Source organism: Homo sapiens, chromosome 8 (genome assembly GCF_000001405.40).
Source record: "Homo sapiens chromosome 8, GRCh38.p14 Primary Assembly".
Classification (NCBI taxonomy): Eukaryota; Metazoa; Chordata; class Mammalia; order Primates; family Hominidae; genus Homo; species Homo sapiens.
In genome coordinates this window covers 76636492-76651127 of record NC_000008.11, presented here as the reverse complement: position 1 = coordinate 76651127, position 14636 = coordinate 76636492, and the positions used below count along the sequence as shown (strand labels likewise).

The window sequence follows — 14636 nt, the reverse complement described above, 5'->3', positions numbered from 1 at the left end:
TATTATGAAAAATTCTCTGATTATATTCTTCCTAAAGGGATGGTATTTACAAAAAAATGTAAATTTTTATGACTTGATGCATCCTAAAAAGGTGGAGGTTCTTTGTAGAAATGACATATAACTACATGTAATAAAAGTACAATTCCCCAATATAAAGAAAGTGTGAGGCAAACTATATCTATCATTATATGTTTCATTTATTTTCACCTTTAACAAATGTAGCTCTCCAGATGCAAACTACCTCATGTCAAATTTAGATGTCAGGTGAGTAAGTATTTCCGGAGAGGTATAGGGAAAATGATTATGAAAATGGTTGGAAAGTGGAGGTGTAGACCAGAAAAATGCTTTGAACCAACCAAAGGACCAGTGATCTATGAATCTAAGAAAAGACATGGAGAAGGCCGGATGCAGTGGCTCATGCCTATAATCCCAGCACTTGGGCGGCCGAGGAGGGCAGATAACCAGATGTCAGGAGTTCGAGTCCTGCCTGACCAACATGGTGAAACCTGGTCTCCACTAAAAATACAAAAATTAGCCAGATGCAGTGTCACGCACCTGTAGTTGGGAAACTGAGCTTGGAGAATCACTTGAACCCGAGAGGCGGAGGTTGCAGTGAGCCAAGATTGCGCCACTGCACTCCAGCCTGAGCAGCAGAGTGAGACTCCATCTCAAAAAGAAAAAAAGAAAAAAAAAAAACAGACATGGAGAAAACTTAAATTTTAAAAGTACAGTTGGGCATGACATAACAATGTCAATGATTGACTACTTATACGGCAGTAGTTCCATAAGACTATAATACCATATTTTTACTGTGCTTTAAAAATGTTTAGATATGTTTAGACACACAAATATTTTCTGTTGTATCAAAACTGCCTACAGTATTCAGTACAGTAACATGTTATACAGATCTGTAGCCTAGGAGCAATAGGCTATATCATCTAGTCTAGGTGTGTAGTAGGCTGTACCACCTCTGTTTGTGTAAGCACACTCTATGATGTTTGCACAATGATAAAATCGCCTAATGGCACACTTCTCAGAAGATATCTGTATTGTTAAAAGATGCATGATGTAGCGGGAATCATACAGTATGTAACATTTCAGATGGGCTTTTTCACCTAGTAATGTGCATTTAAGTTTTCTCCTTGACTTTTCATGGCTTTGTAGTTCATTTCTATTTGCTGCTGAATAATATTCTGTTGTTTGGATGTACGTCAGTTTATTCATCCATTGAAATATGGAAGGGGATGGAGGTTGCTCCCAAGCTTGGGAAATTTTGAATCAAGCTGCTGTAAACAGTGTGTATGTTTTTGTGTGAACATAAGTTTTAAACTCTTTTAGTTAAACACCAGGAAGTACAATTACTGGATCTTATAATAAGAGTATGTTTAGTTTTGTAAGAAACTGCCACACAAACTGTCTTCCAAAGTGGCTGTACCATTTTGGATGCCTGCCAACAGTGAATGATAGTTTCTTTTAGTCTACATCCATGCTGCTTGTATTCTGGATTTTGGCCATTCAAATAGGTATGTAGGGCTATCTTCTTTTTTAAAAATTTTAATTTTTGTAGGTACATAATAAATGTATATATTTAGAGTGTACATGAGATATTTTGGTATAGGCATGCAATGCATAATAATCACATCATGGAAAATTGGATATCCATCCCCTCAAGCATTTGTTCTTTGTGTTACAAACAATCCAATTATGCTCTTTTAGTTATTTTAAAATATACTATTAAATTATGATAAACTATAGTCCCCCTGTTGTGTTATCAAATACTAGGTCTTATTCATTCTTTCTAGCTATTTTTTTGTACCCATTAACCATCCCCACCTCGCCTACACTCCTCCACTACCTTTCCCAGACTCTGGTAACCATTCTTCTATTCTCTATCTCCATGAGTTCAATTGTTTTAATTTTTAGATCCCACAAGTAAGTGAGAACATATGTTTGTCTTTCTGTGCCTGACTTATTTTACTAAACAGAAGGACCTCCAGTTCCATCCATGCTGCTGCAAATGACAGAATCTCATTTTTTATGACTGAATAGTACTCCATTGTATTAATCCTTTCTCATGTTGCTATAAAGAACTACCTGAGACTGGGTAATTTATAAAGAAAAGAGGTTTAATTTGCTCACAGTTCTGCAGTCTGTACAGGAAGCATGAATGGAAAGGCCTCAGGAAATGTACAATCATGGTGAAAGGTAAGGAAGAGGAAGGAAGCACATCTTACACAGCCAGAGCAGGAGGAAGAGTGTGCAGGGGGAAATGCTACACACTTTTAAACAACCAGATCTCATGAGAACTCACTCATTATCAGGAGAACAGCAAGAAGGAAGCCAATCCCCATGATTCAATCACCTCCCACCTAGCTCCTCCTCCAAAATAGAGGATTACAACTCAATATGAGATTTGGGTGGGGACACAGAGCTATACCATATTATTCTGCCCTGTCTACTCCCAAATCTCATATCCTTCTCACATTTCAAAACACAATCATGCCTTCCCAACAGTCTCTCAGAGTTTTAATTCATTCCAGCACTAACTCAAAAGTCCAAGTTCAAAGTCTGATCTGAGACAAGGCAAATCTCTTCCATCTATGAACCTGTAAAATCGAAAGTTAGTTACATCCAAGATACAAGAGGATACAGGCATTGGGCAAATGCTTCCATTCCAAAATGGAGAAATTGGCCAAAACAAAGGGGCTACAGGCCCCATGCAAGTCTGAAATCCAGCAGGGCAGTCATTAAATCTTAAAGCTCCAAAATAATCTCCTTTGATTCCACATCTCACACCCAGACCACACTAATAATGCAAGGGTTGGTTTCCCAAGGCCTTGGGTAACTCCACCCTTGTGGCTCTGCAGGGTATAGCCCTTGCAGCCACTCTCATGGGCTGGCGTTGAGTGCCTGTGGCTTATCCAAGTGCACAGTGCAAGCTTTTGGTGGATCTACCATTCTGGGTTTTGGAGCAGAGTGGCTCTCTTCTCACAGCTCCACTAGGCCGTGCCCTAGTGGAGACTCTGTGTAGGGGCTCCAACTCCACATTTCACTTCCACACTGCCCTAGGAGAGGTTCTCTATGACAGTTCGGCCCCTGAAACAAACTTCTGCCTGTACTGCCAGGCATTTCCATATATGCTTTGAAATCTAGGCGAGGATCCCAAGCCTCATCTCTTGCCTTGTGCATACCCGCAGGCTTAACACCATGTGGAAGCTGCCAAGACCTGCGGCCTGCACCCTCTGGAGCAGCAATGTGAGATGTATCTGGGGCCCTTTTAGGCACAGCTGGAATTGGAGTGGCTGGGACACAGGGAGCAGTGTCCGGAGGTTGCACAGGGCAATGGGACCCTGGGTCCAGGCCACAAAACCAAAGATAAACCATATCATCCATTGTGTATATGTATCACATTTCTTTATCCATTCATTTGTTTATGAACGCTTAGGTTGCTTCCAAATCTTGGCTATTGTGAACAGTGTCACAACAACATGAGGGTATACATATCTCTTTAACATACTGATTTCCTTTTTTTTTTTTTTTTTGGTATATACTCAGAAGTGGGACTGGATCATATGGTAGATCTATTTATACTTTTTTGAGGAACCTCCAAACTGTTCTCCATAGCGGTTTTACTAATTTACATTTTCATAAATAGTGTACAAGGGTTTTTCCTTTTCTCCACATCCCCACCAGCATTTGTTACTGCCTGACTCTTGGATAAAAGCCACTTTAACTGATATTCATTGTAGTTTTAGTTTGCCTTTCTCTGATGATCCATGATGTTAAGCACCTTTTCATATGCCTGTTTGCCATTTGTATGTCTTCTTTTGAGAAATGTCTATTCAAATCTTTTGCCCATTTTTTGATCAGATTATTAGTTGGTTTTTTTTCCATATAGAATTGTTTGAGTTTCCTGTGTATTCTGGTTATTAATCCCTTGTCAGATGGGCAGGTTGAAAATATTTTCTCCCATTCTGTGGGTTGCCTCCTCATTTTGTTAATTGTTTCCTTTGCTGTGCAGATGCTTGTTAATTTGATGTGATCCTATTTGTCCATTTTTGCTTTGGATGCCTGTGCTTGTGGTGTATTACTCAAGAAATTTTTGCTCAGAGTCATGTTCTGGAGAGTTTGTCCAATTTTTTCTTGTAGCATTTTCATGGTTTGAGGTCTTATATTTAAGCCTTTAACCTACTTTGATTTGATTTTTTATATGGCAAGAGATAGAGGTCTAGTTTCATTTTTCTGCATTTGGATATCCAGTTTTCCCAGCACCATTTATTGAAGATACTATCTTTTCCCCAGTGGCTGTTCTTGGTACAATTATCAAAAATGACTTTACTGTAGGTAAGTGGATTTGTTTCTGGGTCCTCTATTATCTTCCATTGGTCTATATGTCTGCTTTTATGCCGGTACAATGCTGCTTTGGTTACCATTGCTCTGTGGTATAATTTAAAATCAGGTATTGTGATTCCTCCAGTTTTATTCTTTTTACCCAGGCTTTAGCTATTCTGGGTCTTTTGTTGTTCCATATAAATTTTAGGAATTTTTTAAAAATTTCTTTCAAGAATGTCATTGGAATTTTGATAGGGATTGCTTTGAATCTGTAGATTGCTTTGAGTAGTATGGACATTTTAACAACATTGATTCTTCCAATCCATGAACATGAAATGTCACTCTATTTTTTGTGACCACTTCAATTTCTTTCATCAGTGTTACATAGTTTTTATTATAGAGATCTATCACTTCTTTGGTTAATTTCTAGGTATTTAATTTTATTTGTGGCTGGTGTAAATGGGATTCTTTTTGAGATTTCTTTTTCAGATGGTTCACTGTTGGCATATAGAAATGCCACTTATTTTCGTATGTAGATTTTGTGTCTTGCAACTTTACTGAATTTATCAGTTCTAATAGTTTTTTTTTTTTTGTTGGAATGTTTTGGTGTTTCCAAAAATAAGATCCTATCATCTGCATATAAACATAATGTGACTTCTTTCTTTCCAATGTGGATGTTTTTTGTTTCTTTCTTTTGTCTGATTGCTCTAGCTGGGAGTTCCAGTGCTATGTTGAATAACAGTGGGAGTCTTTGTCATGTTCAGTATTTAAGAAGAAAGGCTTTTCATTTTCCCCTGTTCAGTATATTACTAGTTATGGGACTGTCAAATATGGCCTTTATGTTCCTTCTATGCCTAGATATTTCAGGGTTTTTTTTATCATGAAGAGATGTTGAACATTATCAAATGTTTTTACAGTTTCAATTGATTAATCATATGGTTTTTGTCCTTCATTCTATTGATATGATGTGTTGCATTGATTGATTAGCATGTGATAAATCATTCTTGAATCTTAGGGATATATACCACTTGGTTATAATGAATGATCTTTTTAATGTGTTGTTGAATTTGATTTGCTGGTATTTTGTCAATGATTTTTGCATCAATAGTCATCAGGGATGTTTGCCTAACTAAAACCCCTATGCATTTATATAGAGGAGATAAGTCGTAACATGGTAAGCGTACTGGAAAGTGCACTTGGACGAACCAAGGTGTAGCTTAACATAAAGCACCCAGTTTACACCTGGGAAATTTCAACTCAATTTGACCACCTGATCTAACCCTAGTTCCAAACCCAACCAACCCTACTACCAAACAACTTTAACTAAATCATTTACTCATGATTTAGAAAACTAAATCATTTACTCATGATTTAGAAAACTAAATCATTTACTCATGATTTAGAAAACTAAATCATTTACTCATGATTTAGAAAACTAAATCATTTACTCATGATTTAGAAAACTAAATCATTTACTCATGATTTAGAAAACTAAATCATTTACTCATGATTTAGAAAACTAAATCATTTACTCATGATTTAGAAAACTAAATCATTTACTCATGATTTAGAAAACTAAATCATTTACTCATGATTTAGAAAACTAAATCATTTACTCATGATTTAGAAAACTAAATCATTTACTCATGATTTAGAAAACTAAATCATTTACTCATGATTTAGAAAACTAAATCATTTACTCATGATTTAGAAAACTAAATCATTTACTCATGATTTAGAAAACTAAATCATTTACTCATGATTTAGAAAACTAAATCATTTACTCATGATTTAGAAAACTAAATCATTTACTCATGATTTAGAAAACTAAATCATTTTCTCTTTTATAAACGTGTCTTTGTCTGGTTTTGGTATCAGGATAATAATGGCTTCATACAATGAGTTTGAGAGCATTCACTCATCCTTCATTTTTCAGAACACTTTGAGTAGGATTAGTATTTGTTCTTCTATAAATGTTTGGTAGAATTCAGCAGTGAATCCATCAGTTCCCAGCTTTCTTCTTTTTTTTTTTTTTTTTTTGTTTAAACTGGGCAACTTTTCACTATGGGCCTCGGTCTTGTTATTTGTTATTGGATTGTTCAGGTTTTGGATTTCTTCATGCTTCAATCTTGGTAGGTTGTATGTGCCTAGAAATGTATCAATTTCTTCTAAATTTCCCAATTTATTGGTATATAGTTGTTCATGGTAGCCACTAATGTTCCTTTGAATTCTGTGTTGTCAATTGTAATGTCTTTTTTTTCTTCATTTCTGATTTTACTTATTTGGGTCTTCTCTCTTTTTTTCCTAGTCCGACTAAAAGTTTTTCCATTTTGTTTATTTTTTCAAAAAACCAACTTTTTGTTTCATTGATCTTTTGTATTGTTTTTGTCATTTCAAATTCATTTATTTCTGCTCTGATTTGTATCTCTTCTCTTACTTTTGAGTTTAGTTTCCTCTTGCTTTTCTAGTTCTTTAAGATGCTGTTTCATTCATTTATTTATTTGATGTTTCCATCTTTTTTGATATAGGCACTTACAGCTGTAAACTTTACTCAGTACTGCTTTTGCTGTATCCCACAGGTTTAGGGATGCTGTGTTAAAATTATATGTTTGAAAAATTATTTAAATATTCTTCTTAATTTCTTCATTGACTCACTAGTCATTCAGGAGCATACCATTTAATATTCATGTTTTTGTATATATTCTAACATTCTTTTAGGTATTGACTTCTAGTTTTACTCCATTGTGGTCAGATAAGATGCTTGATATTATTTCAATTTTTTGAATAATTTAAGACTTTTTAAGGACCTAATATATGGACTATCTTTGAGAATGATCCACATGCTGAGAAGAGTGTGTATTTGACAGATGTTGGATAAAATGTTCTGTAAATATCTATTAGATCAATTTGTTCTATAGTGCAGATTACATTTAATATTTCTTTGTTGATTTTCTGTCTCAGAGATCTGTCCAATGCTGAAAGTGGGGTATTGAAGTCTCCAGCTATAACTTAAACAGATTTACAAGTAAAAGCAAACAACTGCATTAAAAAGTGGGCAAAGAACATGAACAGACACCTTTCAAAACAAGTCATACATGCAGCCAATAAATAAGCATATGAAGAAAAGCTCAATATCACTGATTAATAGAGAAATGCAAATCAAAACCTCACTGAGATACCATCTCACACCAGTCAGAATGGCCATTATTAAAATGTTAAAAAATAATAGGTGCTGGCAAGATTGCAGAGAAAAGGGAATGCTTATACACTGTTGGCAGGAGTGTAAATTAGTTCAACCATTGTGGAAGATAGTGTGCCAATTCCTCAAAGACCTAAAGAAAGTGGTATCATTTGACTCAGCAATTCCATTACTGGGTATATGCCCAAAGGAATATAAAATTTTATGTTAAAAAGACATGTGAATGTGTATGTTCATCACAGCACTATTCATGATAGCAAAGACATGGAATCAATCTAAATGCCCATCAGTGGTCGACTGGATAAAGAAAATGTGATATATATATATATATATAGATATGCAGCCATAAAACAGAACAAGATCATGTCTTTTGCAGGAACATGGATGCAGTTGGAAGTCATCATTCTTAGCAAACTAACATAGGAGCAGAAAACCAAATACCACATGTTCTCACTTATAAGTGGGACCTAAATGATGAGATCACATGGACACATGGGTGATAGCAGGAGGAATAACAGACACTGGAATCTATCAGAGGATGGAGGGTGGGAGAAGGAGGGAATCAAGAACAATAATAAATGGGTACTAGGCTTAATATCTTGGGGATGAACTAGTCTCTACAACAAATTCCTGTGACACAGTTGGCCTGTGTAACAAACCTGCACATGTACCCCTGAAGTTAAACTTGGGGTCTGTCTCTCTCTTTAGCTCTAATAATATTTTCTTTATATATCTGAGTGTTTTAGTGTTGGGTGCATATATATTTAAAATTATAATATCCTCTTGCTGAACAGACCCCTTTATATAATTACCTTCTTTGTCTCTTCTAACAGTTTTCATCTTGAAATCAATTTTGTCTGATATAAGAATAGCTACTCCCATGCTTTTTTGGTTTTCATTGGCATAAAATATCTTTTTCCATCCCTTTATTTTCAGTTTATGTGTATCTTTTTAGGTGACTTATGTTTCCTATAGGCAACAAATCATTGGGTCTTGTTTCTTCATCCATTCAGCCACTCTGTATTTTTTGATTGGAGAGTTTAGTCCATTTACATTTAATATTATTATTGATAAGTGGGAAATTACCCCTGCCATTATGTTATTTCTTTTTTCTGGTTGTTTTGCAATCTTTTCTTTCTTCTTTCCTTTATCCCTGTCTTCTCTTTGGTAAAGGTGATTTGGTCTGGTGATATGCTATAATTTCTTGCTTTTTATTTTTTGTGTATCCATTGTATGTTTTTTGATTTGAGATTACCATGTGGCTTGTTGTTGCAGGAAGTCAGGGACCCCAAATGGAGGGACCAGCTGGAGCTGAGGCAGAAGAACATAAATTGTGAAGATTTCATGGACATTTATCAGTTTCCAAAATTAATACTTTTATAATTTTGTATGCCTGTCTTTACTGCAGTCTCTGAACATGAATTGTGAAGATTTCATGGACATTTATCACTTCCCCAATCAATACTCTTATAATTTCTTATATCCTGTCTTTACTTTAATCTCTTAATCCAGTCATCTTCATAAGCTGAGGATGTATGTCACCTCAGGACCCTGTGATGATTGCATTAGCTGTACAAATTGTTTGTAAAACATGTGTGTTTGAACAATATGAAATCAGTGCACCCTGAAAAAGAACAGAATAACAGAGATTTTCAGGGAACAAGGAAAGATAACCATAAGGTCTGACTGCCTGTGGGGTTGGGCAGAATAGAGCCATATTTTTCTTCTTGCAGAGAGCCTGTGGGGTTGGGCAGAATAGAGCCATATTTTTCTTCTTGCAGAGAGCCTATAGATGGACGTGTGAGTAGGAGAAATATCACTGAATTCTTTTCCCAGCAAGGAATATTAATAACTGATAGCCCTGGGGAAGGAATGCATTCCTGGGGGTAGGTCTATAGACAGCCACTCTAGGAGTGTCTGTCTTATGCAGTTGAGATAAGGACTGAAATACGCCCTGGTCTCCTGCAGTACCCTCAGGCTTACAAGGATTGGGAAATTCCAGCCTGGTAAATTCTAGTCAGAACGGTTGTCTGCTCTGGAACCCTGTTTCCTGTTAAGATGTTTATCAAGACAATGCATGCACAGCAGGACATAGGCCCTCATCAGTAATTCTAATTTTGCCTTGCCTTGTGATCTTTTATTGCCCTTTGATGCATGTGATCTTTGTGACTTACTCCCTGTTCGTACACTCCTTCCCCTTTTAGAATAGCTAATAAAAACTTGCTGGTTTTGCGACTCAGGTGGGCATCATGGAACCTGCCAATATGTGATGTCACCTCCAGTGGCCCAGCTGTAAAATTTCTCTTTGTACTCTTTCTCTTATTTCTCAGACTGGCCAACACTTAGGGAAAATAGAAAGAACCTATGCTGAAATATTGGGGGCTAGTTCCCCTGATAGCTTGTAAATACTGCATTATAACCTATTATTTTAAACTGATGACAACTTAACACTGATTGCATGTACAACCATACAAATACATGAAGAGAAAACTAACAAAAACTCTTATGTTTTGTTGTTTCTCTATGTCTTATTGTACTTTCTGTGTCTTGAAAACTTGTTGTGGTTGTTATTTTTGATTGGTTCATCATTTAGTCTTTCTACTTAAGCAGTTTGCACACCACCATTATAGTGTTATACTATTCTATGTTTCTCTGTGTGCTTACTATTACCAATGAATTTGTACCTTCATACAATTTCTTTTTGCTCACTAACATCCTCTTTTTTTTCAGATTGAAGAACTCCCATCAGCATTTCTTGTAGGACAGGTCTGGTGTTGATGAAATCTATCAGCTTTTGTTTGTCTGGGAAAGGTTTTTTCTTTCACATTTGAAGGATATTTTCATGAATATATTCTTCTAGGGGAAAAGTTTTTTTTTTTTTCCTTTAGCACTTGAAATATACTACGCCACTCTTTCCTTGCCTATATGGTTTCTACTGAAAAGTCTGCTGCCAGATGTATTGGAGCTTCTTAGTATGTTATTTATTGCTTTTCTTTTGTTGCTTTTAGGATTCTTTCTTTATCCTTGATCTTTAGGGGTTTGATTATTAAGTGACTTGAGTTAGTCTTGTTTGGATTAAATCTGGTTGGTGTTCTATAACCTTCTTGTAGTTGAGTGTTGATGTTTTTCTCTGGTTTGAGAAGTTCTCTATGTTATCCCATCGAATAAACTTTCTTCCCTTATGTCCTTCTCTACCTCCTCTTTAAGGTCAAAAATGCTTAGATTTGACATTTTGAGGCTTATTCTCTATATTCTGTAGGTGTGCTTCATTGTTTTTCTATTCTTTTTCTTTTGTTTTCTCTGACTGTGTATTTTCAATTGGTCTGTTTTCAAGCTCACTAATTCTTTCTTCTGCTTGATCAATTCTACTTCAACACTATTAAGAATTCTTCAACATGTCAATTGAATTTTTCAACTATATAATTTCTACAATTTTTACTTGATTTGTTCAAATTATTTCAATCTTTCCTAAATTTATCGGATAGAATTCTGAATTCCTTCTCTGTATTATCTAGAATTTCTTTGAGTTTCCTCAAAACAGCATTTTCAATTTTCTGAAAGGTCATATATCTCTGTTTTTCCAGGATTGGTCCCTGGTGCCTTATTTAGTTAATTTATTGAAGTATGTTTTCCTGGATGGTCTTAATACTTGTAGATGGTTGTCTGTGTCTGGGCATTGAAGAGTTAGGTAGTATTGTAGTCTTCATAGTCTGAGCTTGTTTGTATCTTTTTTCCTTGGGAGGGTGTATTAGTTTGTTCTCACACTGCTATAAAGAACTACCTGAGACTGGATAATTTATGAAGAAAAGAGGTTTAATTTACTCACAATTCCACAGGCTTAACAGGAAGCATGGCTGGGAGGCCTCAGGAAACTTACAATCATAGTGGAAGGTGAAGGGGAGACAATCATGTCTATGACTTATCATGGTGGAGTGGGAGAGAGAGAGTGAAGGGGGGAGTGCTACACACTTTCAAACGCCCAGATCTTGTGAACACTCACTCACTATCATGAGAACAGCAAGGAGAAGTTTGCCCCCATGATTCAATTACCTCCCAGGAGGGCCCTCTCCCAACACGTGGGGATTTAATTTGAAATGAAGTTTAAGTGGGAACACATGGCCAAACCATATCAGAGGACTGTCCAAGAATTTGAAGGGACTTGGGCCTCAAGCCCAATAACACTGTGGTTTTTGCAGACTTGTTGTTAGCAATACAAGACTGTCTCTCCGGCCTTCCTCAATGCCTCTTCTAGTGATATGAAATTAAAACCTGGTAGTGTGATTGCTCACTTGATTTTTGGTTCTTGTCATGATGCTTTTCTGTGTGCAGTCAGTTGTTAAAATTTGGTGTTCCAACAGTGGGGGCAAACAGTGTAGGCTTTTATTCTGCCATCTTGCTCAGCTTTATCTTTTTTTTGTCTTAATTTGCAATTATCTAATAGCATTTGATGTTAAACATACTTTTGTGTATTTATGTGTCACGTATATATTCACTGTGTTGAGGTGTCCATTCAGACCTTTGGCCTATTTTTTAATTGTATTTTTCTTATTGTTGAGTTTTGAAAGTTCTTTGTGTATTTTTGGATAACAATTCTTTATCAGATACAGGATTTTAAGTATCTTCTCCCACTCTGTGGGTTATCTGTTTATTCCTTTGTCAGTGTATTTTACAGAGCAGAATTTTTATTATTTTCATAAAGTCCAGTTTATCAATTACATCTTTCATGGATCATGCATTTGATGCTGTACCTAAAAAGTTATTGACAAACCCAAAGTGACCTAGATTTTTTCCTATGCTATCTTCTAGAAGCTTTATACTTTTGTGTTTTACATTTAAGTAAAACACAAATTCATTCTGAGTTAATTTTTGTGAAAGGTGTAAGTTATGTGCCCAGGTTCATTTTTTTGGTATGTAGATATGTAGTTGATCCAGCACCATTTGTAGAAAAGACTATCTTTTTCCCTCTATATTGTCTCTGCTCCTTTGTCAAAGATTAGGTGACTATATGTATGTGAGTCTCCATCTGCTCTTTATTCTGTTCCATTGATCTATTTGCGTATTCTTTTGCCAATACTATATCTTTTTTTTAAGAGATGGGGTCTCACTCTGTCACCCAGGATAAAGGGCAGTGGCATGACCACAGCTCTTTGGAGTCCCAAACTCTTGTGTTCAGGCAATCCTCCTGCCTCAGCCTTCCAAGTAGCTGGAACTTACAGGCACGTGCCATCATGCCATTGTGTCTGGCTTTCATTTTTTGTAGAGATGGGGTCTTGCTATATTGCCCAGGCTGGTCTCAGACTCCTGGTCTCAAGTAATTCTCCCACCTAAGCCTCTGTAAGTTCTGGAATTACAGGCATGAGCCTCCACACCTGGCCCAATACCACACTATCTTGATTACTGTAGCTTGATAGTAAGCCTTGAAATCAGTCCTCCAACTTTATTCCTCTTCAGTATTGTGTTGGCTTATCAGGGTCTTTTATCTCTCCATATAAGCTTTACAATTAGTTTGTTAATATCCTTAAAATAACTTGCTAAGTCTTTAATTAAAATTGCATTGACTCTATAGATTCAGTTTGAAAGAATTGGCATTGTGACAATATTGTGTCTTCTTATACTTTTTTTAGTACTTTAAGTTCTAGGGTACATGTGCACAACGTGCAGGTTTGTTACATAGGTGTACATGTGCCATGTTGTTTTGCTGCACCCATCAACTCATCATTTACATTAGGCATTTCTCCAAATGCTATCCCTCCCCCATCTCCCCACCCCCGCGACAGGCCCTGGTGTGTGATGTTCCCCACCTTGTGTCCAATTGTTCTCATTTTTGAATTCCCACCTCTGAGTGAGAACATGTGGTGTTCGGTTTTCAGTCCTTCAATAGTTTGCTGAGAATGATGGTTTCCAGCTTCATCCATGTCCCTGCAAAGCACATGAAATCATCCTTTTTTATGGCTGCATAGTATTCTATGGTGTGTATGTGCTACATTTTCTTAATCCAATCTATCATTGATGAACATTTGGGTTGGTTTCAAGTCTTTGCTATTGTGAATAGTGCTGCAATAAACATATGTGTGCATGCGTCTTTATAGGAGCATGATTTATAATCCTTTGGGTATATATCCAGTAACAGGATCGCTGGGTCAAATGGTATTTCTAGTTCTAGATCCTTGAGGAATTGCCACAGTCTTCCACAATGGTTGAACTAATTTACACTCCCACCAACAGTGTAAAAGCATTCCTATTTCTCCACATCCTCTCCAGCATCTGTTGTTTCCTGACTTTTTAATGATCACCATTCTAACTGGTGTGAAATGATATCTCATTGTGCTTTTGATTTGCATTTCTCTGAGGACCAGTGATGATGAGCATTTTTTCATCTGTCTGTTGGCTGCATAAATGTCTTCTTTAGAGAAGTGTCTGTTCATATCCTTTGCCCACTTTTTGATGGGCTTGTTTGTTTTTTTCTTGTAAATTTGTTTAAGTTCTTTGTAGCTTCTGGATATTAGCCCTTTGTCAGATGGGTAGATTGCAAACATTTTCTCCCATTCTGTAGGTTGCTTGTTCACTCTGATGGTAGTTTCTTTTGCCATGCAGAAGCTCTTTAGTTTAATTAGATCCCATTTGTCTATTTTGGTGTCTTCTTAAACTTGAACACAAAAATCTCTTTCCGTTCATGTATTATAGTACTTCCTTGATTTTATTACAGTTCTGTAGTTTTCCTCAAATAAATATTGCACATATTTTGTTAGATTTATGCTCAAATTTTTAATTTTTTTGGGGGGTGCTATTGTAAATAGCATTTTGATTTTATTTGGAAATTCCACTTATTCACTGCTGGTGTATAGGGAAGTGGTTGACTTTGTATATGTGCCTTGTATCCTGCTACCTTCCTATAATTGCTTATTAGTTCCAGAATGGTTTCTTTTTCTGGTTAATTATTCTGGATTTTCTACATAGACAATCGCTTGCATCATCTGCAAATTGGGACAGTTTTATTTGTGTGCCATCATGTATGGCTTTTTTTTTTTTTTAATAGAGACAGCCTTTCTCCATGTTTTTCAGGCTGGTGTTGAACTCCCAGACTGAAGTAATCCACCTGACTCAG

At 36.2% G+C, this 14636-nt stretch overlaps 1 long non-coding RNA gene across 1 annotated transcript in view, besides 1 other annotated feature; it reads left to right on the top strand.

Moving 5' to 3' along the window:
• The window catches only part of ZFHX4-AS1 (ZFHX4 antisense RNA 1), a 72397-nt gene that overhangs the window by 32148 nt on the left and 25613 nt on the right, over positions 1–14636 (top strand). The window lies entirely within an intron of this gene.
• Positions 9374–9875: an enhancer, noted in NCBI's record as "NANOG hESC enhancer chr8:77553488-77553989 (GRCh37/hg19 assembly coordinates)". NCBI's record gives its function as "activates a minimal SCP1, AML or CMV promoter by ChIP-STARR-seq in naive H9 embryonic stem cells {active_cell/tissue: H9 hESC(naive)}" and the evidence as "EXISTENCE:reporter gene assay evidence [ECO:0000049][PMID:30033119]".